Genomic DNA, 24,997 nt, shown 5'->3' on the forward strand with positions numbered 1-24,997 from the left:
TGTCAGTAAACTCTAACCTCCCTGGAGCCCTTGGAAAATGGCCAAGCCGTTGAGTTCTCTGAACCCAGGGGATGCTGGTCTGCCTGTGCTCACTGCTGTTCCCTCCCAGTCCTGCCAGCTCTTCATCAACGTGCCGGTGGAAGCTGCCTCGGTGGACTACCATGTGTCCCTGGCCCAGACCGCACTGCAGGTCTGCCTGGTTCACCCCGAGCTGCAGAGTGAGATCTACTGCCAACTCATGAAGCAGACCAGCTGCCGCCCACCTCAGAAGTACTCCCTCATGCAGGTAGGCATGCCAGGGGTGGAGCAGCTGACAGAAGCCATTGGCAAGGGCTGCCAGGTGGGAAAGGTGGGAGGAGGTGACTGGGCAGGTATACGGTGAGCCCAGCCAGCGGGCAGCCTCTGTGCTCCAAGCTGCATCAGTACGGCTGAGCTGTCTATGCACAGATGGGTGATTGCATTCTGGACACAGCCTGACCAAGTTGGCCATCCCAGCACCCAGAGCAAGTTGGGGGCTCTGGTTTGGGGAAAGAGTGCTGAAGGCTCTGTAGCTCAGGGCTATGAGGACAGGTGGTGCTGTAGGCCCAGCACTCACCCCACGCTGTCTGTGTCCCTGGCAGTGCTGGCAGCTCCTCGCTCTGTGTGCTCCACTTTTCCTGCCTCAGCATCACTTCCTCTGGTATGTCAAGCAGCAGCTCCAACGCCATGCAGATCCCAGGTGAGTGAACCTGGCCGTTTCCTCTGCCACTTGAGCACTGCCAACTGCCGCATGAATAAGAGGGATGAGAGGAGTCTAGGGCAGACCAGATCACTCCTGTCCTCTGAAACCGCTCAGTGGTCGTGGAGACTTCACCCATTGCCGTGTGCACAAATGGGCACGTGTGGATCTGGGCATGCTTAAGCTTCTCTGCACGCCAATCCATGTATCCACGGATGTACTGTGGCAACTCTCACATGAAGCCACACTGCTCCCAAACTGTCCCCAAGTGCTATTCTGTTGTTATGTCCTCTGGGTTCTAGAAGAAAATATCCATGCCAGCAACCTGCTATATAAAGGTCCTGAATGACAAATTAATGTCCCAGACCAGAGTCTTCAGGGCTTTTCTCACAACCTGCCCCAGCTACAGTTTTGGTCCTGGCTGAGTCTAGATAGGGATCCGGGGTGCCAAAGTGGCAGAGATGAGCAGAGCCCATAATACTCCCCTCTTCCGTCTTTTTAGAAGTGAAACTGGCCAGTATGCCACCTACTGCCAGCGGGCAGTGGAGCGGACCCTGCGGACCGGGGAGCGGGAAGCCAGGCCATCGCGCATGGAAGTGGTGTCCATCCTGCTGCGTAACCCCTTCCACCACTCCTTGCCCTTCAGCATCCCCGTGCACTTTACCAACGGGACTTACCATGTGAGGAGCTGGGCGTGCTCTTTGCCCCGAGTCTTCTCACGTCACCATCCAGAGAATACCCCTGGGCCTTAGGCTCAGGCTTGGCAGATTGTTCACTGTTGCCCCAGAAGTAGATATTATGAACTCACTGCATGAACAGGGAAGCTGAGATGCTGACCAAGAAATAAGAAAGGGCCTCCAAAAGATTGTTGGTAAAGGAGGGACCCAGGTATGCCCAGTTCATTTACAGTGGATAAGCTCACATCCCTCATGCACTGGCCCTTTGCCTGTGAACACAGAAACCAACTTGCTTTGGCCTTTTGTATTTGCCCTTGCTCCTTTCCACCTGCTGTATCCAGACACCTCCACCAGCCCTAGTGAGCTCCTCTCAGGAGGTTCACTCAGGGTTGGAACTCTTCTCCCGCCTCAGGTGGTTGGTTTTGACGGCTCTTCCACGGTTGATGAGTTCCTCCAGCGGCTGAACCAGGAGATAGGCATGAGAAAGCCATCCCACTCTGGCTTTGCCCTCTTCACGGACGATCCCTCGGGCAGGGACCTGGAGCACTGCCTGCAGGGAAGTGTCAAGGTGACAGCCTCCCACTAAGCCAGCTGAGCCCCTCCCTGCTCAGGGATATTGGTGGTGGGGAAAGAGCCCATCTGATGGGTGTCTGACTGTTTGGTAGCTCATTTGGTGCTGAGCCCAAGGTGCTGCCCTAGTCAGCATTTCTGTGCCATCCTAAAATGTACCTGGGCAGGGAGAAAAAAGCTGTTGTGTGCCCTTGTCTCTGGAGACAAGATCGCTACACACCTACTTCCCTCGAGTGGCTGTGCAGCGTCCAGAAGAAAAGCCTCTTCTTGGCTTGGTGTAGGGACAGTGAGGCCCCACGAAGCCACTGCCTACACGTGCCCACTCAGAGGCTCACAGCTGTGTGCTTGGACCCCCTGGATGTCAGGTGGTACCCAGCACCTCACTTTTACCCTTTCTTTCAGGGCCTATGCCATGCTTATAGGTTGAACCACACTTTTAAAGAGGCAGGTCCTTATGGTGCTCCTATAAGTAAAGGCCGTTGGATGGGATTTAAGATCAATCTTGTATTGTGGTCTGGGATTACTGTCCTGGGGGATAAGTGTTTGTAAGAATGTGCTCTAGCACTTTGATGCATATTTGGCTCCAGTGTTTGCTTGTCTTTAACAGGACAAAGGCTTCTATGGTCTTTTAACATTGCCTGGAAAAACTATGCCACATACCTTCTTTGCCAATGTCTGGGCATCTGTGAGGCTTTGTTACATGGTAGCCCTCTGGGCATATTTGTTGAAGAGGAGAATAGCAGTCAGTGGAATGGAAATGGAGCTGGTGTTCGAAGGCCATGGGGCTGCCTAGCCTCTGGGGAGGCCCCTCAGCTGGTGACACCAGCAGGGCAGATTTCTTGCTTTATTGCTCACCCTGTCCAGGGTTCCCTCTGTTTGTGAGGGAGCTGCTGCCACCTTGGGTCCAGGAAGCATGAAGCTCCGCAGGTCAGCCTCCTGGTGGGAGGACTTTTCCTTAGTTTTCTTTGCTCTTCTGCTCTGAGTCCAGCCCTGGCTGGACCTTGATCCCTTCTCTCCTTATCAGGAAATTTTCTGACTTTCTTCTTTTGCCTTTTCAAGATCTGTGATGCCATCTCCAAGTGGGAACAAGCCATGAAGGAGCTGCACCCCGGAAAGTCTGAGGGTGGGACACGCGTCGTGAAGCTGATGTACAAGAACAGGTCCTAAGCACTGCACGAGGGTGGGGCCAAACACAAGGGCTGCCACTGGGTGCCAGCTCATCGCCTCCTCGACTAGACAGCCTATCCAGACGGGGGGAGGGACCCACAGATATAACACTGCCTGGCAGTCACTAGCTGGGGTGCAGGCGGGCTCTGCTGCTGATACTCTGTGAAACCCTGGGCAGCTCAGGCCTTCTGTCAGCCTTCCCTATACTGCGTGTGCGTGTGTGTATATGCACACACACACACACACACACACACAAACATCTGCCAAGAAAACAGACCAGACCACCCTGGGCAACATGGCAAAACCCCACCTCTACAAAAAATGCAAAAATTAGCTGGGCATGGTGGCATGTACCTGTAGTCCCAGCTACTCAGGGGGGCTGAGGTGGGAGGATCACTTAAACCTGGGAGGTTGAGGCTGCAGTGAGCTGAGATCACGCCACTGCACTCCAGCCTGGGCAACAGAGTGAGACCCTGCCTCAAAAAAAAGAAAAGAATAGAAAATAGACCAACCTCATGGGATGGCTAAGTGTGTTACTTTATGAGAGTGAAATTTTGTATAAGCACCAGCTAGTTATAGCTAAAGACTAAGTACTTCCTATACCAATTCCAGGAAATACAGAAGTAGACATCCTGACTTTCTATCAATTTGAGTAAGAAAATCCCATCCCTCCATCTCAGTATGTCTCCAGGCAAATAGTTTCCAGTAGTCTCTTGGACTCTTACCTCATCCAGTCCCCTAATCTATAACTCCAGGTACCAGATTTCCCTTACTAAATCCAGTAAGCTTAATGGTATCTTCAGAATGAACCATGCCCTCCTGTTGGTATGAGATCAGCATGACCCTGCATCTGCTCTGTGTCATACTCGGTTATATGTTTCTGGAGGCAATACAAAATAGGCTCATAAATAGTGGGAAAAGAGTACTTTATCTTTTTGGAAATAAAGGTAACAGACCCAGAGAAAGCCCCATCCCTGTTTGGAATCCCTGCTGAGTCCTGGTTTCTTATTCTCTTCTTTGTAGGCTGTACTTTCGCAGTCAAGTCAAAGGGGAGACGGACCGAGAACGGCTGCTCCTTGCCTCTCAAACCAGTAGAGAGATAGTGGCAGGGAGGTTTCCTATCAACAAGGAATTGGCTCTTGAGATGGCTGCCCTGATGGCCCAGGTAAGGTTCTGTTCAGGAAGCAGGAGGGTCGGGTTGCCAGCTTAGAATGAATGCACCATGCAGCCTGAAACACAGGAGAGATTCTGCAGATCCTGTGGTGCTCAGGAGAGGGCAGCTTTGCCATCTCTGGGATGGAAAGCAGCTGACTTCTACAGATCAGAGCTCCTCACTCACCGCAGATATAGGATGCGTGCAGATGGCTGGACTTGGAATCCAGAGACCTGGGTTTGAGTCCTATATACCTTCCAACTATGAGGTCTTAGCCAAGTCACTTCACTTCTCTATGCTTTAGTTTCCTTCTCAGTATACCAAAATAAAAAATACTTGGCCGGGAGCAGTGGCTCATGCCTGTAATGTCAGCACTTTGCGAGGCCGAGGCGGGCAGATCACCTGAGGCCAGGAGTTCGTGACCAGCCTGACCAGTGAAACCCTGTCTCTACTGAAAAAAAATAAAATAAAATAAAATAAAAATAAAAATTAGCTGGGTGTGGTGGTGGGCGCCTGTAATCCCAGCTACTCGGCAGGCTGAGGCAGGAGAATCACTTGTACCTGGGAGGCAGAGGTTGCAGTGAGCCAAGATCATGCCATTGCACTACAGCCTAGGCGACAACAGCAAAACTCTGTCTCAAAACAAAACAAAACAAACAAACAAACAAAAACCTCTGCCAGCCTCCACAGGGTTGTACTAAGTATGATACCTGGATAATTGTATCATGTAATGTATGTGGTAAACTTCATAAACCATCAGACCTTCTAAGTAGACTTAGGAAGAGGAACACACATTCAGACTTGGACTCTCCTTCCCATTATATTTAGAAGGCCATCTTGCCAAAGGTATCTGGGATACCTTCATGACTCCCATAAGAGAGTCTGACACCTACTATATACCCACAAAAATTAAAAATTAAAAATTTTTAAAAAAGAATAAGAATCTGGATTTACATGCTGGAAAGGAAGAGGAAACAGTAATAGTTGATCTTTATAAATATCAATAGGAATACTCTCTAGGAGGCCCTGTACTAAGCATATATGCATCCTCCATTGTAGTTTTTATTCCCACCTAATAGATGAGGAAATTGAAGCTCAGAGAGTTTAAGTAACTTGATCAGGGACACAAAGCTGGGATTTGCGCCAGGTGTCCAACTCCAAAGGCCACATTTGGAACACTCTGCTGTACTCTAGGATCTGTAGCATCTTCAATTCTATAGCCCATATTTTTGGACTGGAAGCCAGAATTTCCACATTGTTTTCCCTTGTCGGCTACCAATTAACTGTGTCTTTGGAAAAGGCACTTCACCTCAGCTGCAAAATCAAAGTTGGTCGGTGATCTCTAATATTCGAGGGCCCTAAGTTTGTTTCTCTAGTGTCTATAAAACTTGAGATGAAGCGTTTTTCTAAAGTATTTTTCACAACCACTCGCACCCCACCAATAGGGTAATAAAGAAATGGTTTATTTCACCTCTCAACAGCCCCCACCTGGCCCATCCACTGTCAGATTTTGACTGGTCTCTTCATATGCTTCTACCACAGGTAGAATATGGGGACTTGGAGAAGCCTGCCCTGCCAGGCCCTGGAGGCACATCCCCTGCCAAGGCTCAGCATCTTCTCCAGCAGGTCCTAGACAGGTTCCACCCCAGGCGCTATAGACATGGGGCCCCCGCTGAACAGCTGAGGTAGGTAGGCTACAAGGTCTTGCAGCAAGTCACTGTGGGGAGGTCTCAGGCCTGGAATGAAGACACGTCGGCACTTCATTGGCACTATTTCTCTCCATCTGCCCACACCAGGCACCTGGCAGATATGTTGACCACAAAATGGGCAACATTGCAAGGATGCTCCCCTCCTGAGTGCATCCGCATCTACCTGACCGTGGCCAGGAAATGGCCTTTCTTTGGTGCTAAACTTTTTGCTGCTCAGGTAAGTGCCAGTGGAAGGAGCTGCCCACACCCTTAGGTGTGTCCCCAACTGCTCATGTTTGAGCCATACCAATTTGCAGCCCCTACCTCCATACCAGTAACCACCAGAGGTCACTATCCCTCCACTGTTTCTGGCCTAGTCCAGCTTTCCACAGTCCAGAGCAGAATTGTGATTGCTTATCTTCATTTGTCCTTTGTTGACTGCCCCAAAAGAAAAGATGTGATCAACTAATTCACACACACAAAGATTCAGACTTGAAATAACAGCCCTCTCAAGAGTGCTTTCATTTTTTTTAAAGTTTGAAAGAACAATGTATAACCTAAACAAATACATCTCCACTGGTTTGACATGGCATACAGGGGAATCAAATTACTTAGCCAACAGTTAATTTCACCTCTGTATGAAGGCCAGGTGGCCAACAGTAATTTCAGAAGGAACTTTTCTTCACTGGGTGTCTGTTGTGCATAAACTTTATAGATAATTACAGCTCAAAGCTGGGCAGTGATCCTGTTTACTGAAGCCACAGATCGGAAAATGGCCATTCATTCATTCAACAAATAGTTGAGCTCCTACTATGTCCAGTGCTGGTTGTTTGAGGTTATAAGAAGTGAGAAAATCAGACACAGTCCTTGCCTTCCTGGAGCTTCCCATCTAGTGCAGGAGATGTATATTCATCAAATAATCGTATTCATTTTTTTCTCTATGTATTTAATATATATTTATAAGCCATCACAAATGCTATGAAGATGTACAGAGGTGTTATAAAGGCATATAACAGGGACCCACTTGGTCTGGGAGCTTAGGAAAAGCTTCTGAAAAAGGTGGCATGTCCAATGTCTATCTGCCTCCCTTTGGGTTAAGAGAGAGATTTTCTGGATTACCATACTGTAGTCCTGGCAGTGAAAATTAGTCATTACAGGAATGTCCACTAAATAGTCACTTTCTTACTGATAGGGCCTAAAGCCACAGGACTGCATTCTTGCTTTCCTATTTCTTTTACAGCACCTAGGAGATTGGCTGAAGTCAGAAGCACTTCGGCTTGGAGACTATAGGTGGAATGCCGTGTTTCCAAGACTAGGAGAAAACCAGCTGTTCCCCATTCCCCTAACAGAGCAGCTAGGGCTGGCCTCTATTCTGTAGCACAGAGCTTTCCATCCAGTGTGCTGTGGCAGCATGGGTTCTAGGGACATCAAAAGAATGATCGCCTCTGCCTTTGAGATGGTTAGTAGGTGGCCAGAGCCCCAAGGCCAAGGGTCTCCTGTCACAAGCAGCCTTGTCTATTTCCTGCATACACTGTACAAATATCATCTTTGTTTTCCAAGATGAGGTGGCTGGAAATCACTGCTTAGCAGATCCCTGGATGTGCCTTCTTTCTCAGAAAGTTATTATAGTTCAAAATCTCTAACTATGGATATATCTGATGGGTTGTTTCTGTTTCCCCAGCCTGCCCAGCTGTCTTCCAAGGAGAACGCTCTGGTGTGGATTGCTGTGAATGAGGATGGCGTCAGCATCCTGGACCACAACACTATGGTATGAAAGGATGCAGGCTGCTCCCTGACCCCTCCTCTTCCTCAACATGGTCTTTTCTTCTCCTCTGTGGACTCAAAAGCCTGAACCAAGTGACCATGGCTGCCCTACCCCCACTCCTGCCCAAGCACCAGTCCTCTAGTCTAGACACTGCTTGTAGATATTCAAGATGGAGATCTCCAAATTATGACCACTTGGGAGTTCTCCTTTCCTGTGCCTAGAAGAGACAGGGGATGCTGGTTCCTAGCTCAGGGGACAGGTGGAAAGTTTCCCCACAACTGACTGGTTCCTTTCCACAGCAAGTGCACATCACTTACCCCTACTCTTCAGTGACAACGTTTGGTGGCTGCAGGGATGACTTCATGCTTGTGATTAGATCTATCCCAGACAAGAGCTCTGGAAAAAGCCACATTGAGAAGTTGATCTTCCGGATGGCTGCTCCCAAGGTAGGTCTGACAGCTGTTAAAACGTTCTACTCTGGCAAGATGTGGTGGGCTTGGAGCTTAGAAAGGAAACTGGGGTTATGCTAGTGCTCTGCAAGGGCCCTGCCCAGATAAAATTGTTGGTCTTGTCTGTAATTAGTATTCCAAAGGTTCAGGTGGTGTTGCATCTCCGTATCAATGTTCAGCTAGTAGGTAAAGGGACATATTTGGAGGGAACTAACTCTGGCCTAGCTACTATTATGCTCTTCACTTTTTCTTTTTTATTCTCTCAAGCCCCAGCATCATGCAGTCCTCAGTTGGGTGCTTACGTGCTCTTCTCTTCCTTGCAGCAGTCCTCAAGGCAGGGCAGATTCCTCTTTAAGGTGCTCGCATGTTACCCCTGGGTTCTGCTGACCCAACATTAGCTACAAAGTGGGACAGTCCCACAGTGCTCCCTCTTCCTTGTTGTGGGGAAGACCGCAAAAAGACCTCTTTTGCTTTAGTGACTTTGTTCCTACTCAATACAGGAAGTGTTGACCAGCAAAAATAATAATTACAAAGGCTAAGTTCTGATTTATTGTTCCTGACTCCCGTGTGATTAACTGGAAACCCTGTTGTTCTCCTTTTTAATCCTAAAGTTAGAGTTTGCCAAACCTACTCCTCCTTTAATACCACCCCTGCTAAAGGGGAGGATCTCCAGATCCCTTTCTTAAGAAGGCCCCTTCCCTGGTTGTAGAGCTAACCAGAGCAGAACACTGGGCCTCCTTTTCTCAGAAGGGCACTGTGCATCTGAGAGGATCTCCAGACCAACAGGAGCCCACACCACTGGGCCTCTGAACAGCACAGTTATGATTCCCTTTGGATATTTTCTCCCAGGTGGGTATTTTAAGAGATTAAATAAACTGAGGCCCAGGAACTCAGCATAAGAGCTAATAAGTAAGAAAGCCAGGATTCAAGCCAAGGCTAGTTCAATTCCTTCACATCTCTGACCTCCTCTTAGATTGCAGAAGCTACCTTCATCATGGCCAGCTATATGAACCATTGCACTACAACTGTGAACCCCCCCACCAACCCACCCGGAGCCTGCCAGCTGTGGGAACTGGATGGACGACAGTTCTTTTCTTCTGTTTCCTGTGCTACCAAGGGGCCAACGTTGCTGTGAATATTTCTCCTACCCGATTCCCCAACACCACTAGTGCCTCTGGATTTAGAGATATATATCCTAGGGTATGATACTACTGTGACGGGTCTAACAGCCCCCGGCTACTCTTGTTCTGTGAAATGTGTATTTTAGTCTCTGTGAAGCCTTTACTCTCTAGGTGCCTTATAATGTTTCAGGGCTCAACTTTTTAAAATCCAGACCCAGTGTTAAAACCATTTATTCCTTTTTTCATAAGAATAATGACTCCAGATGCTACCTGATTCTAGACATAGACAGGGATGATCCACTGTTACTGAGGGCATCAGTGCTATAAGTTAAGGCTTTCTGCACTGGTACTCTCAAGGAAGCTAATTTTCTTTCTGGGGGGGGCGGGGGACACAGTGTCACTATGTCACCCAGTCCACAGGGTTCAAGCAATTCTCCTGCCTCAGCCTTCGGAGTGGCTGGGATTACAGGTGTGCGCCACCATGCCCGGCTAATTTTTGTATTTTTAGTAGAGACGGGGTTTCACCATGTTGGCCAGGCTGGTCTCGAACTCCTGACCTCAGGTGATCTGCCCACTTTGGCCTCCCAAAGTGCTGGGATTACAGGCATGAGCCATCGCCCAGCCCAGAAGCTAATTTTTTAATATTGTATATGGTCTTATTTATACTTGAAGTTTTGTGAACGTCGCTAAACAGGATAGGACTAAAATTTCCAATTCTCCTACACTCTGTCAGAAGCCTAGAACTCACTAAACTGGGCTGCCTTTCCCAAATGGGAAAGGTGCTGACAGAGTTGGAGAAAAAAGAATAGACTCATTTTTCCCCATTATTGGTATGTAGGCATTGGTACAGCCCCTTCTGGGGCAGTCTTTGCAGGATAACATGCTATACCTGCTAAGATTCAAGCTGTTTTCCTCACACTGGACTTTAGGCCAAACCCAGTACCACGCAATGTGCAAGCAAGGGCAGGAGGTAGGTCCAATCTGACCCCTCCCTGTCTCATTTTAATGACTGGACAGCGCTCGGTGAAGGCTGTGTTCACTGTAGTGGGCCATCATTTGTTTCCTTCTTCTTGTAAAAGACCAAGCAAATGCACTCTGCTTTTTGCTGCTGTAAGACCACCAAAAATGAGTCAGAAACACAGAAGACTATTTCAGGCATGTGGGCCTGGATATGCTCCTTGAGACTTCTGGCAAACTTCTGCTGGGAATTAGTTTGAGGGTGAGGGTACATATGTGACATTTGCCCTAGCCTAAGAGTAGCAGGTAAAAAAAAGTTTCTTTCATCTTTTGCCTTACTGATAATACCATAATCCCCCTCAATTCAGACCTTCTGATTGAGTGCAGAGGAGACTAGACAGTCTCCTCTAGACAGGTTGTAGACACACCCTCCCCTAACAAAAACAAAACGAAAGAGTTCATACTCTGATTTTCCAACATCTAGGAAACTGAGTTTTATTTCCTAGCTCTAAGGCAGCCTTACTATATGTCAGTAAAGTGCTGAAAACTGTATATTTAGCAGTAGCACCCAAAACCAAGCCTTTAACCCCAACAATGTGTGTATCTTTTGCACAGCAAAAACTGCGAGGCCAGAACTAGTTTATCTGAACACCTCAGCTGCTGTAAGCTTCTCCTCTCTCACCCCGTAAACTGACAAGCATGATGAAAAAAGAAGCACATCCAAGTTTCTGCCTCTTTTAAATGTACTTGACTTTGCAAGGCAAGTAGTTTTACAGCCATTTCTGTTCACACTTTTCACCCCACAACTTGGGGATCTAGCTGAGACATTTCTACCTCGAACAAGTCACATGTACCACAGGTTCCTGAATAATTCCTGCAGGGCTGGTGACAGACATAACAGCTCTGGTTTTATAATATCTTGGGTATCTCTAAGGCCAATAAGGATAACATTATCTACCCAGAGAGTTTAGAAGAAAAGTAGGAGTCCAAAGGAAGAGTAAACAAGAATGGAGCTGTGTTCACACTGAATTTGGGGTCAATCTATTTCCCCCACCCTCTCTCCTCCCCAACCCTTCAGGAACCCTTTAGTTTATTAATCTTATACAGAAGAAACTAACTTAGAAACAAAGGATTCAATATTTGCTTATTTATTCTTTGTTAACATGAGAGTCCCATGTCTGAAAACCAAAGTCCAATTTCTGTCTGGCCTTTTGTCTCATCCTTCTTGGCAAAAGTAGCTTTTGAACTGATATAAAAAAAAATGCTGAGTAACAGAAAAGTATTAATGTGCTTGACACCATGACTGAAATACTATGATCTTGTTTGTCAATAAAAAGCAGCTATCTGTGAACCAGGTAACTGTGTGTTTTGGAAGATCTGTTTATTAACAGTAAATAAATAAGCCCTGTACAGAACACAGGCACTAGGTTGACAGACTCGTCTTTTGTAGGACATTTCTTCCTGCTAACCAGTACTGAAGGGCTTGTTTTTTTCGTAACTTTACACAAGGGGTACTATTGGAAAATATAGCTTTCTCAAGACATCTGATGTCAGTTTCCCATTGTTTTGCTTCACAAACATCAACAAAGTAAACCTGAACATGCTTAGCAATTTCCGAAAGTGTTCTTTGCTGACATTACTTTTGACATACTGTGTCAAAATTCTTAAGGTCTCCCCTCCTTTGGTAAAGTAGGCAAAACCTTACAAGGAAAACACTATAATACACGGAAATATACTGAGTTAGATTTCCAGTCACCTGCTCTATGGCTCTAAGATGCACTACATCCATAATGGTTCCTAGGACTGTGTCCACCTGATGGTTTGGAGTACGGAAAACCAGCCCCTATGGCTTAAGAGTCATCTCCCATGGAAGACAATGCTGGCCTTCTGAACGCTGGGGCTCATGGGCTTGTTGATGTGGCTTTCTGGTGTGCCAGGATCTCCTGGCAGCTCCTGTATACTTCAATCAAGCAGTCCAGCCGGGGCTTGGCACTCTGAATTCCAAAGGGGAGAAATGCGGAGTCAAGGTGAGAATATAAGGGAGTGCAGTGGTGCTGCATCCACTTGCAAATTTTTTTTTTTTTTTTTTTTTGAGACAGAGTTTTGCTCTGTTGCCCAGGCTGGAGTGCAGTGGCGCAATCTCGGCTCACTGCAACCTCCGCCTCCCAGGTTCAAGTGATTCTCCTGCTTCAGCCTCCCGAGTAGCTGGGATTACAGGTGCTCGCCACCACGCCCAGTGGCACAATCTCGGCTCACTGAAACCTCTGCATCCCGGGTTCAAATGATTCTTGTGCCTCAGCCTCCCAAGTAGCTAGGACTACAGGCACGAACCACCATGCCCAACTAATTTTTGTATTTTTAGTAGAGACAGGGTTTCACCATGTTGGCCAGGCTGCTCTTGAACTCCTGGCCTTAAGTGATCTGCCCACCTCGGCTTCCCAAAGTGCTGGGATTACAGGCTTGAGCCATGGTGCCGGGACCACATGCAACTTCAATCTCTCACCCACATCAAGGGGTATAAATGACACAGCAGTGAGCTCATGGAGTTAAGAAGTTTAGGCCTCAGCACACCTTGCTGGAAAGAGTCCCAGCTAGGCTTACAGCACAGCTTGTGAACTATGCGAGGTGGGAGATCAAATGATAGCTTTTTAATCTGTCTAAATTTCATGAACTCCATCTCTAAGAATAAGCAAGAGGAAAAACAAAATGGACCCTTGAGAAATGTCACAAGTTGTAAAACAGCCCTCAAACACAAGAAGTGCAGTTTAATATGTAAATATTGAAAAATGTTTTACACAATGAAATGTAATAACCAAAATTAAAAGAAAAGCCACAGAATGGAAAAAATATATGTGAAAGTATATTTAATAAAAGTGCACTACCTAAAATATATAAAGAATTGTTAAAAATATATAAAAATAGATACAAATACATAATATTCAGATTCTACTTGACTAATAGAGAAGATAGGTAGTTTAAAGTAAGAGGAAATACTGATAGGTAATACAAGGAAATATGAAAAGCCTATCATTTAAAGAGATACAAATTTAATGCCTTTACCTACATATTAAGCTAAAAAAGCTAAATCCACTATTAGCCAGGATGGTAGAAAAAGAAGTACAAAATCCCCAAAGTATGATAAAGTTGTCCAATCTCTGGAGCCCGATCTTAAACACTAGAAATCTATAAAACTATTCATAAGCTTTAATAAAATAATTTTGAATTACAATGCAAAATAATTTTTGGCTTATCTTAAATCCTTTGTGAAAAAGGTCAGTGAGGCAGGGTTAACTGTATACATAAATACATGCATAAATACCTACCTCTAAATTTATTATTTTGTAATTTATTATGTTTGTATAATTTTTGTTTTTTGAGATGGGGTCTCTTGTCACCCAGGCTGAATACAGTGCCATGATCAAAGCTCACTGCAGCCTTGACCTCCTGGGCTCAAGCAATCCTCCCACCTCAGCTTCCCCAGTAGCTGGGACCACAGATGTGCACCACCATGCTCAGCTAATTTTGGTATTTTTTGTAGAGATGGGGGTTTTACCATGTTGCCCAGGCTGGTCTCGAACTCCTGAGCTCAAGTGATCTGCCTGCCTCAGCCTCCCCCACAGTGTTGGGATTACAGGCATGAGCCACTGCACCAGCTGATAAGTGTTTTTTTTTTTTTGTAAGAGCAAAACAAAAAAACCCAGGCATGATTTTAAAAGCTGGCAAGAGTGGCTAAATAAACTGATATTTCAATATATTATACAATTATTTAAAATAATAAATATAATGGCCTTTGTAGGATACATACATATTAAATTATTTACAAAGCAAGACACACAATAGTGTACAATGTAAGATCAATTACCTCTATCTAAAAAAAGTGTACAGTAGTAGACTGACAGAGTCAAAGTAGATGAATGGTGATTTATAGGCAGAAGTTGCTATATATTTGATTGTGTTCTTTAAAATGTGCATGAGGCCAGGTATGCTGGCTCATGCTTGTAATCCCAACACTTTGGGAGGCTGAGGCAGGAGAATTGCTTGAACTCAGGAGTTCAAGATCAGCCTAGGCAACATGGCAAGACCTCATCTCTACTAAAAATAAAAAAAAAAAATTAGCCAGGCGAGATGGTGCACACCTGTAGTCCCAAGTTCTCAGGAGGCTGAGGCAGGAGGATTTCTTGAGCCTGGGAGGTGGAGGCTGCAATGAGTGGTGATTGTCACTGCACTCCAGCCTAGGTGACAAAGTGAGACTCTGTCTCTAAAATAAAATAAAATGTGCATGAATATTTTTAAGGAATACATTTGCCTCAGAGAGGAACTTCTCAAATAACTGAAATCCTAATTATCACTCAAAACAGCTGTCAGGTATCTTCCAATACTCTGACAAAAGGAATTTACATTCCTAATGAAAAGGTTGAGGAGTAATTGGAGAATGGTAAAAGTATTCTATGCTCACCTGGAAGACGGGTACTACTTGGGATATCCCATGTGGTTCCACTGGATCTTTCAATAAGATGCAGAGGTAGTAAATCACCTTCTGCTGTAAGAAAATAAATCAAATAGCAAAGTCTAAGTGAAACTCATTTTGCATTCTTTTTTTCTTTTTCCTTTATTTATTTATTTTTGAGACAGAGTCTCTCTCTGTTGCCCAAGCTGCAGTGCAGTGGCGCAATCTCGGCTCACTGCAACCTCTACCTCCCAGGTTCAAGCGATTCTCCTGCCTCAGCCTCCCAAGTAGCTGGGATTACAGGCGCTCGCCACCATGCCCGGCTAATTTTTTGTATTTTTAGTAGAGATGGGGTTTCACCATGTTGGTCAGGCTGGTCTGGAACTCCCGACCTTAGGTGATCCGCCTGCCTTGGCCTCCCAAAGTGCTGGGATTACAGGCGTGAGCCACCACACCTGGCCACATTCTATTTTTCTAAGGGAAGGCTCAACACTTTTTCACAAATGTTTAAGTAGTAGAACACTTGATAGCTTTTGAAGTGGAAGAAAAGTATATTCTCATTCTTTAAATGAAAAAAGACAGGGCCAGGCGTAGTGGCTCAAACCTGTAAACTGAACACTTGGGGAGGCCACAGCAGGAGGATGGCTTGAGCCCAGGAATTCAAGACCAGCCTAGGCAACATAGTGAGACTGCATCTCTGCAAAACATAGAAAAAACGAGCCAAGCATGGTGGTGCATGCCTGTAGTCCCAGCTACTCAGGAGGCTGAGGTGGGAGAATGGCTTGAGCCTGGGAAGTTGAGGCTGCAGTGAGCTGTGATCGAGCCACTGCACTCCAGCCTGGGCAACAGAGTGAGACCCTGTCTCAAAAAAAAAAAAAGAAAAAAGATAGAAAGAGAAGGAAAAAATGCCAGTGATAATTTTGAAGTTGGTCTTGAAGATAAAGTTGAAATGCTAATTCCCTATCCATGAAAACCTGCTGCATCTCTTTAAAAATAAAGAGATTTACCTTTTAAATATAAGTCTCACTTTTACGGTTTTAGTTTAAATCTGGGAACATCCCATGGGCTGGCTACCTCCTCCAGAGAGGCCTGTAATACTTACCTTTTAAATACTTACCATGTAAATGGCCTCATTGATGACAATATCCTTGACCTTGCCCATTTCTATGAAGGTAGTGCTTTCTTTGCCTGAAGCATAAGATGAAGTCATCTGAATGCCAAGGGAATCAATGATTAACAGAGTCTCCTGATCAATCTTCACAAAATGGAGATAACCAAGCAGACCTAAGAGGGTGATGAAGATGGCAGCAGAGAGGATCATGCTGTTCTGAAGAGAGAGCCAGACACAGACAGTAAGATTACCAAGTGGTACCAGTCAACTCCAGGCAATGAGGGGAACATGCATGGAGGAAAAGGAAATTGCTTTTATTTGGGTTCTAAGGTGCTATGAAAGTATACAGTGAAACAGATCCAGACAACAAATGGATAGGTCTAGGGGAAACCTCCATCAGCAAAATGTCCATCACAGCAATCTCAGAAATTTTTCTTCCAAAATTCCAACTTTAGGGCCTAAATCAGCTGAACGCAGTAGCTTGCACCTGTAATTCCAGCTACTAGGGAGGCTGAGGCAGGAGGATCGTTTGAGCCCAGGAGTTCGAGGCTGCAGTGAGCTATGATCATAGAACTGCACTCTAGCTTGGGTACCAGCATAAGACACTGTCTCTAAAAATCGAAAGGACCCAGCCGAGTGAGGTGGCTCACGCCTGTACTCCTAGCACTTTGGGAGGCCAAGGCAGGTGGATCACAAGGTCAAGAGATCGAGACCATCCTGGCCAACATGGTGAAACCCCATCACTACTAAAAATACAAAAAGTAGCTGGGCGTGTTGGCACGTGCCTCTAGTCCCAGCTACTCTGGAGGCTGAGGCAGGAGAATCGCTTGAACCTGGGAGGCGGAGGCGGAGGTTGCAGTGAGCCGAGATCGCACCACTGCACTCCAGCCTGATGACAGAGTGAGACATCTCAAAAAAAAAAAGGACCCCAAATCTTTTCCTTTCACACTCCCTCAGCAGAATACAGGAGGGAGTTATGTCCTGATAAACCCATTATAAGATGAAAATGCATTTAATATTTAGTTCTAGCACTCAAATAAAAAATTAAAATTAAAAAATGCATTTAATATACCTATCAAGCATCAGAGCTTAGCCTAGCCTACCTTAAACGTGCTCAGAACACTTACATTAGGCCGGGCGCGGTGGCTCACGCCTGTAATCCCAGCACTTTGGGAGGCCGAGGCGGGCGGATCACGAGGTCAGGAGATCGAGACCACGGTGAAACCCCGTCTCTACTAAAAATACTAAAAGTTAGCCGGGCGTAGTGGCAGGCACCTGTAGTCCCAGCTACTCGGGAGGCTGAGGCAGGAGAATGGCGTGAACCCAGGAGGTGGAGCTTGCAGTGAGCCGAGATCGCGCCACTGCACTCCAGCCTGGGTGACAGAGCGAGACTCCGTCTAAAAAAAATAAAAATAAAAAAAATAAAAAAGAACACTTACATTAGCCTACAGTTGGGCAAATCATGTAACATAAAATCTGATTTTACAGTAACGTGTGGTAAATCTCATATAATTTATTCAATGCTATACTTAAAGTGAAAAACAATGTTTGTATGGGTACTTGAAGTACCGTTCCTACTTGAAGTACCGTTCCTACTGACTTTGTATTGTTTCCGCATCATCCTAAAGTCAAAAAAATCCTAAGTCAAACCATCGTAAGTTGGGAACCATCTGTATATAGTGCAAAATCATAGACTGAACAATTATAAAGTGCTTAGCACAGTGTAGCAGATACTATGGCTTGCCTAATAAACAGCCACCCACCAGCCCCAATTGAACAGTGAGTGAACCATGATTGGTTCCCACTCCTTCTGCCAATGACTGCTTTAAAAATTGGCATGTGACACAACTCTGGCCAATGAAATGTGAGGGGAGATCTGCTGGAGGGGCTTCTGGAAAACTTGAGTTTATCTTTAAAAATCTGCAGAAGAGACGTTCCCTTCATCATGAGGTTTAGATACCTGGAACTACTATGGCCTCTGCCAGACCCAGTGGAGAGCTAGTAGAGGACAACTAGAGGACGCTAAGGGTGGAAGTGCAGTTTCTGCACTTGGAGGACCAGGTGGAGGACAAGTAGGGCACACTAAGGGTGTCAGCAGTAAGATGACAAGAGCCGGAATCAAATGAGTCTCCACGTGAACTCTGGAGCCCTCCTACCTTATGACTTCTTGTTAATATAAAAGGTCCTTATCTCTTAAGGCTATTTTAGTTGTTCTGTGTTACTTACAGTTGACTAAGTGATGTGTTAAGGGCTCAAAAAATGGTGTCTATTATTTATTCCCTTGATTCTAAGACCAATGTATAATCTTTAACATTTCTGAAGTTAAAATGTGTTTTCCTATTGGTGTGTGTTTCTTTCATGTGGCATTGTTTTATCTTTTTTCCCAGAAGCTTGCATTCATTCATTGATTCGAGACAGAATTTCACTCGTTTCCCTGGCTGGAGTGCAATGGTGTGATCTCGGTTCACTGCAACCTCCACCTCCCGGGTTCAAGTGATTCTCCTGCCTCAGCCTCCCTAGTAGCTGGGATTACAGGCACCCGCCACCACGCCCAGCTAATTTTTTTTTTTTTTTTTTTTTTTTTAGTAGAGATGGGGTTTCACTATGTTGGCCTGGCTGGTCTCGAACTCCTGACCTCAGGCAATCCACCCGCCTCAGCCTCCCAAAGTGCTGGGATTCCAGGTGTGAGCCACCGCACCCGGCAAAGCTATGATTTAGAAGACTGGCACAGGAAAAAAATTATTGATGACCTAGAATCAAAGAAATTTTGTAATTTTGGACTGCATTCCTTGAGGGCAGGAAGTGTCTTATTATTCTTTGCACTGACAAGATGCCCTCCTTTATCTACTTCTAGTCAGGTTCCTCTAAGCTGTCTAGGCCCTGACCTTGACATCTTTGTTGGGCCTGCACTACCCACCCAATTGTAGCAAGAATCTTGCTGAATCAGTTTAGAAAGAACTCCCACCCTTGGTATTTGATCAGCCTGGCATGCCTTCAGCAAGAATCCTGTCAAGTCAATTTAGCCAGAATCCCACCTTGCCCCTGATGTTTCCTTTGGGTAATTTTCCATCCACTGACTCCCACCTTGCTCCTTGGCTATAAATCTCCACTTGTCCATGCTATATTCGGAACTGAGGAAATTTGGAAGTCTATACTGAAGTCTCTTTTCCCCTACTGTAATAGTTCCTGAATAACATCTGGTTTTTGTACCACTTCAACTACTCACTAGCTCTGGTTTTCTTTGATGGTCTCTTTCTACTTTTTCATAGTTAACCCATAGTGTTAGATCAGGGATCTGTAAACTATTTGGGCCTGTGGTCTGGTTTTGTCTGGCCCATCTCAAGCAAAGAATGATTTTTAAGTTTTTACAGGGTTGTAGAAAGAAAGAAAAGAATATTATGAGACAGACCCCACAGAACCTGCTATATTTACTATCTAGTCTTTTAATGAAAATGTTTGGGCCAGGCATGGTGGCTCATGCCTATAATCCCAACACTTTGGGAGGCCAACATGGGGGGATCGCTTGAGGCCAGGAGTTCAAGACCAGCCTGGGCAACCTAGTGAGACCCTGTCTCTACAAAAAATACAAAAATTAGCCAGGTGTGGTGGCACATGCCTGTAGTCCCAGCTACTCAGGTGGCTGAGATAAGAGGATCGCTTGAGTCCAGGAGACTGAGGCTGTAGTGAGGGGTATTCACACCACTACACTCCAGCCTGGGCAACAGAGTGAGAACCTGTCTCAAAAAAAACAAAGAAACCTGTCTCAAAAAAAAAAAAAGTTTGCTTATCTCTGTGCTAGATAATTATTTGTTGATTGATGAATGGAGGATTCAGTACTGGGTCTCTGATGATCCAGAAAGATCTAATTTTGAGTTAATTAATTGCATTGAATAAGCATTAAGAAGAATGGAGAGGAATACAATTCAGCCCTGACCCTTATAGATGTATTAAAGGCAAGATTAATACATAGAAAATATTCTGGAGGATACTCTGATACTGACTATAAGTGCCAAAAGAAAAGTTTAAAAAAAAAAAAGACATTAAAGCACACAGGAATATCCCATCACATCCAAGGAAACAGGATTTAATTGGTGTAGGGGAAGTGGTGGTTAGTGACCAATATAATTAGTTGAAAGGGAAGGGGGAAGAACATTCCAGGTTGGAATAAACAAGGGAACAACCTGGAACTTTAATAGAACTGTGAACTCAAAAACAAGAAGGAATGAAGGGATGAAGAACAATAAATCCTTAAGGATTTGATCCATGTCAGCTTTCCAATAAAAGCAATCCGTGCCCTACTATCTGCATTTTTTTCAACTTCATTTTTCTGTGTAGAATTCAAACAATTCAATATTAATTTGGGTTGGGGTTAAGCTGTATGTTTGAATGAATTCCTTCAATCAGATTTCTTCTCATTCCAGATATTCATTACTCTCATAAACAGTTTTGAATAGGAAAGGTAAGAAATTTTGGCACACAGAGCCCTTAGAAAGTGTTGCAGTAGAGTTTAAAGGAAGATGCGGTCACTGATTCCTCGGGTACTTGATGGGGGTAAGCAGAGTACACCGGCATGAGAGAGACAAGTACAGAAGGGACCTGGCATAAAAGCAGGCTTTTGTTTTTAAATTTTGCCTAAGATCAGCTATACAATGGTATAAAGGAAAAGAAAGGGTCTCAGAGTCAGAAAGCCCTTGGTTTGAAGCCCAGATCTGCCATTTACTGCTTTGAGACTTTGGATAAGTCATTGCTCTTTGTGAGCCTTGGTTTCCTTCGTTCTAGGGCTAAAGTAAGGAATTCAGTAAAGCATCTGGCAGTCAGTGGGCATTTAATAAATATCTATTTCCTCCTCCTCACATGACCACATACATAGGCTATAAGAACTCAGGCTAGTACTAAAATTCAACTATACAATAAATTAAATTTTAGGGGGGCTATCAAGTCAACTTAATCATCATTTTAACTGACTTATGAACAAACTTTTTTTTTTTTTTGAGACAGAGTCTCCCTCTGTTGCCCAGGCTGGAGTGCAGTGGCGTGATCTCGGCTCACTGCTACCTCCACCTCCCAGGTTCAAGCGATTCTCCCGCCTGAGCCTTCCGAGTGGCTGAGACTACAAGCGTGCACCACCACACCCAGCTAATGTTTGAATTTTTCGTAGAGACGTGGTTTCACCATGTTGGCCAGGCTGGTCTCCAACTCCAGACCTCAAGTGATCCGCCCGCCTCAGCTTCCCAAAGTGCTGGGATTACAGGCGTGAGGTACAGTGCTTTGCCTGAACAAACATACGGTTTAGATAGTTAGATAGTTTCCTGCAATTAGGGCAGTCTTAATTCTGCATATTTCTATGCTAAATTACCATGCTCTGAAACACGCTTTGACAGCAAAAAAGCGAATGGATGCAGTAATGGAAACAATATCCAAGTTACAAAAATAAATAGCCCTGCTGTACTTAGCTCTGATTAGATCACTTCTGGGATAATACATTCAATTCAGGCACTACATATGAAACTAGAACTTATCCTGAAAATTAGGATAATTCTTTTTATTTGAGAGCTGTCACAAAGTTACTGCATTTAACCCTCACAATATCATGAAGCTGGTATGGCAGGCATGAATTCTATTTTAGAGATGTAGAAAATTGAGGCTCAGAGAAAACAGGAATGAATCTGGAAATTGAGCACAGCTATCACACACGTCCAAAATTTCATAAACCTTTAGAAAGTACTTGAAATTGGGGAAGGGTTTGGGAGGAGGGAGGGTTAAAAAACTCCCTTGAAAAACAGAGATTAGGAAGAACTATAACACTCTATCTATACACACAGATAAACACACACACTTGTGGAGGCAAAGACAGTTTGTGGAAGTCTACGTAAAGTATTGTTAGCAGTACTACTTTGAGGAGCAGAAGGGATGGACGAGGAAGACCCACTTAGTAGTTCCTTGAACTCTTGGAATTAAATTACTGCGCGCCTATACTACATAGAACACATGGCAGTTAAAGTTTTAGGCCGTCGCGCAAGAACTAGATGTATGCTGAGTGAACCCACGGAGCAGAGCACAGCCACGGAAGGGGAATGTACTATCCAGGAGCACACATTTCACTAAACGTCATTTAAAGAGCTGTCCAGCAGCGGAATATCGTCCCCAGAACCCGTGAGTTCCCGCCCTCCTGTCCTATCACTGTAGGAGGGGCCGACCAGAGGTCCGGGCTCGACCAAAGACCCCAAAGACCCTCCCAAAGCCGAACCCCCTCCTTCGAGCGCGGGGAGGGGCCGACTTGCCATTACCTCGCAGAGGGTGAAGAGTCCGTAGGCCGCCAGCCACACCGTGCAGGTGACAGCGGTGAGCGAACGCAGCGAGAGCCGAGGGCAGCTGAGGCAGAATTCCCGGCAGGACGGGGAGTAGTAGCGGCGCTGCAGCGCCAGGCGGCCGCCGCAGATATCCGAAAAGCTCCGCTCATCCTCCATGACGCCCCCACTCGGCCGCCCGCACCGCGCGGCGCTGCACTGCGCTCGCCGGCCCTGGCCGTCTCGCCCGCTCCAGACCCGCTTCCGGCAGCCGCGTCACCACGCCCCGCCCTAAGCCTGCGCAGCCTCAGTTGCGCGCCGAGAGCTCTGCTGGGGGCTGATGGTTGTGCGTTCTTCCGGGCCGGCCTTGACTGTCTTCGAAAAAACCTCGTCGGGGCAATAGTTAAGTGGAAAGATTAAAATCGTTTTTAGACCGGGCGCGTTGACTCAGGCCTGTAGTCCAGCACTGGGAGGCCAAGGCGGGAGGATCGCTTGAGCCTGGGAGGTCGAGGTTGCAGTGAGCGGAGATCATGCCCCTGCTCTCTAGCCTGTGCGAGAGAGCAAGACCCTGTCTCAAAACAAACCCACAGTTTGTTTTTGTTTTGAGACGGAATGGCGCGACGTCGGCTCACTGCAACCTGCTTCCCCCGGGTTCAAGCGATTCTCCTGCCTAAGCCTCCTGAGTAGCTGGGATTACAGGCGCGCGCCACCACGCCCTGCTGATTTTTGTATTTTTAGTAGAGACAGGTTTCACCATGTTGGCCAGGTTGGTCTCAAACTCCTGACCTCAGGTGATTCGCCCGCCTCGGCCTCCCGAAGTGCTGGGATTACAGGCGTGAGCCACCGCACCCAGCCCAAACCCACAGTTTTAATCATGCTTTTGCTTGGCAAGCCGATTTCTCTAAGCCAGAGTGAGCCGCAAGGAGAGCCCACGGGTATTCATTTCACTTACTCTTTTCCTGTGCCGGGTAGTTTGAGGTGCTTGAGGATGCAGCAGTGAACGATGTTGATGACAGTCTCTGCCCTCGGGCAGCTTCCTTTCTAGTAGGAGACAATATGGAAATAAGAGAGTATCGTTGGCAATACTATGCTGACTGGCAGGGATGGACTGAGGACTTTACATAGGGCAGTCAGGCGAAGTCTCTAAGTAAGAGGACACTGAGTTACAAGGGTGACGAGCCAGACAGGACTGAAGGAGCTCTGGAGGAGGAATTTGCCAGAAAGAAAGACCAGGAAAGGCAAACCCCTCGAAGTTGGAACAAGCTTGGCTTAATGAAATAATCAAAAGGCGAGAAAGGTTGGTGTGTGGGGAAAACAGTTGGAAGCTGGGGAGGCAGGTAGGGGTCAGATCCAAGAGGGTCTTGTAGGGTCTGGTAAGGAGTTTGGATTTCACTGCCTGGGAGTTCTGTCTCCCAAATGACTGCTTGGACCGTGGTAGACAGGCAAGACCTGGCTGGGAATTAAGCAGGAGCGGGAGATGCAGAAGAAATGGATAATAAAATTACTAAACTCATGAGTAATAGTGGCCTATGAGTTCCATTTTTACTTCTGATGTGGCCCAGGAGTGGCTATGTGGACTGTCAAAACACTTGTGATGGGCTGGGCATGGTGGCACATGCCTGTAATCTCAGCACTTTGGGAGGCTGAGGAGGGCAGATCACTTGGGTCAGGAGTTCAAGATCAGCCTGGCCAACATGGTGAAACCATCTCTACTAAAAATACAAAAAAATTACCTGGGCATGGTGGAGCATGCCTGTAATCCCAGCTGTTCGGGTGGCTGAGGCAGGAGAATCACTTGAACTTAGGAGTTCAAGACCAGCCTGGGCAACAGAGCAAGACTGTGTCTATATTCATTTAAAAAAAAAAAAAGATCCATGGCATAAAGGTCTCACCAGCTTTAAGTCTCTCTGATGAAAGGTTCCGTTTCTTCATCTTCATTCAGAATTTTATTTCCCTTTCTTTTTTCCTAAAGGATTTCTTCAAGCACTTCTTTATTTTTCTAGTTTTATTTCTGTGCCCCGAATCTGACAATTAATACACTCCTTTTATTAGTCCGTTTTCACACTGCTATAAAGAACTACCTGAGACTCGGTAATTTATAAAGAAAAGAGGTTTATTGACTCACAGTTCCACATGGCTGGCAAGGCCTCAGGAAACTTACAATAATGGTGGAAGGCAAAGGGGAAGCCAGGCATGTCTTACATGGCAGCAGGAGGGGAGTGGGGAAGTGCCACATTTTTAAACCGTCAGATCTCGTGAGAGAACTCACTCAGCATCACGAGACCAGCATGGGGGAAATCCGTCCCCATGATCCAATCACCTCCCACTGGGTCCCTCCCCTAACAAGTGGAGATTACAATTTGACATGAGATTTGGGTAGGCACAGAGAGCCGAACCATATCACCCCTTTTACTATTGCATATATCATGTGTTTTATAATTATAAAAGTGATATTTGCTTATTGTGGAAAATTTGAAAAATACAGAAAAGAAAAAAATGTAAACCACCCATATTTCCATCACTCAGAGATAAGTACTGTTAATGTTTTGGGGAAGCCTGTAGTCCTGGAGTTCTTAACTTGGGCTCCACGGATAGAATCAGTGTTTCATTTTTAGTTTCATTAACTTCTAATTAAAATTTAACATTTCTTTTGATTATGAATATGGGCAACAAACTAGTATTAGTAGAGCTTGTGATTTTTGTCACTGACAGAAATCACAGATATTTTCTTTTCACAATAATTGTTTCAAAATGTCATTTCTAGTCATTGCTACTTCAAAATTGCAGTAATTATTAAACCCATCACTAGCTATTATTATTTAATGTGTCAATAAAGAGAAACATATCACTGTAACACATTTTTAAAATATTTTGATAACCATATTTT

At 45.6% G+C, this 24,997-nt stretch overlaps 3 protein-coding genes across 15 annotated transcripts in view, besides 2 other annotated features; 2 read left to right on the forward strand and 1 right to left on the reverse strand.

Moving 5' to 3' along the window:
* Positions 1-11,699, forward strand: part of PLEKHH1 (pleckstrin homology, MyTH4 and FERM domain containing H1) — a 56,323-nt gene extending 44,624 nt beyond the window's left edge. For 7 of the 10 annotated variants that reach the window (XM_011537009.2, NM_020715.3, XM_017021499.2 and 4 more), the window contains 11 exons: positions 110-286; positions 621-718; positions 1,221-1,398; positions 1,808-1,963; positions 3,025-3,125; positions 4,156-4,297; positions 5,828-5,970; positions 6,082-6,211; positions 7,655-7,741; positions 8,038-8,184; positions 9,161-11,699. In XM_011537009.2, coding sequence (XP_011535311.1) covers positions 110-286; positions 621-718; positions 1,221-1,398; positions 1,808-1,963; positions 3,025-3,125; positions 4,156-4,297; positions 5,828-5,970; positions 6,082-6,211; positions 7,655-7,741; positions 8,038-8,184; positions 9,161-9,322 — 1,521 coding nt within the window. In that variant the 3' untranslated portion in view covers positions 9,323-11,699. Of the gene's footprint in view, positions 1-109; positions 287-620; positions 719-1,220; positions 1,399-1,807; positions 1,964-3,024; positions 3,126-4,155; positions 4,298-5,827; positions 5,971-6,081; positions 6,212-7,654; positions 7,742-8,037; positions 8,185-8,896; positions 8,984-9,160 lie in introns of those variants that run through there. The other 3 variants (XM_017021500.2, XM_047431620.1, XM_047431619.1) reach the window with 2 other exon arrangements.
* The window catches only part of GPHN (gephyrin), a 1,227,209-nt gene that overhangs the window by 1,069,767 nt on the left and 132,445 nt on the right, over positions 1-24,997 (forward strand). The gene's annotated exons all lie outside the window — the stretch shown is intronic.
* Positions 6,366-6,415: a silencer, noted in NCBI's record as "silent region_5859". NCBI's record gives its function as "represses an Ori minimal core promoter by ATAC-STARR-seq in GM12878 lymphoblastoid cells {active_cell/tissue: GM12878}" and the evidence as "EXISTENCE:reporter gene assay evidence [ECO:0000049][PMID:35858748]".
* On the reverse strand, positions 11,398-22,355 carry PIGH (phosphatidylinositol glycan anchor biosynthesis class H). Of its 4 annotated transcripts, none has more exons than NM_001440644.1 (5): positions 22,111-22,355; positions 15,830-16,039; positions 14,722-14,802; positions 14,402-14,523; positions 11,398-12,259 (listed from the first exon to the last, which is right to left on the reverse strand). In NM_001440644.1, the coding sequence occupies exons 1-5, from the start codon at positions 22,288-22,290 to the stop codon at positions 12,232-12,234; spliced, it is 621 nt and encodes a 206-aa protein (NP_001427573.1). In that variant the 5' UTR covers positions 22,291-22,355; the 3' UTR covers positions 11,398-12,231. The 4 variants fall into 4 exon arrangements, with proteins under 4 accessions (NP_001427573.1, NP_001427569.1, NP_001350623.1 ...); NM_001440640.1 differs by having other exon boundaries at positions 14,722-14,805; NM_001363694.2 differs by lacking the exon at positions 14,402-14,523.
* Positions 22,033-22,352: an enhancer, noted in NCBI's record as "active region_8583". NCBI's record gives its function as "activates an Ori minimal core promoter by ATAC-STARR-seq in GM12878 lymphoblastoid cells {active_cell/tissue: GM12878}" and the evidence as "EXISTENCE:reporter gene assay evidence [ECO:0000049][PMID:35858748]".

The sequence above is a fragment of the Homo sapiens genome, chromosome 14 (assembly GCF_000001405.40).
Source record: "Homo sapiens chromosome 14, GRCh38.p14 Primary Assembly".
NCBI lineage: Eukaryota > Metazoa > Chordata > Mammalia > Primates > Hominidae > Homo > Homo sapiens.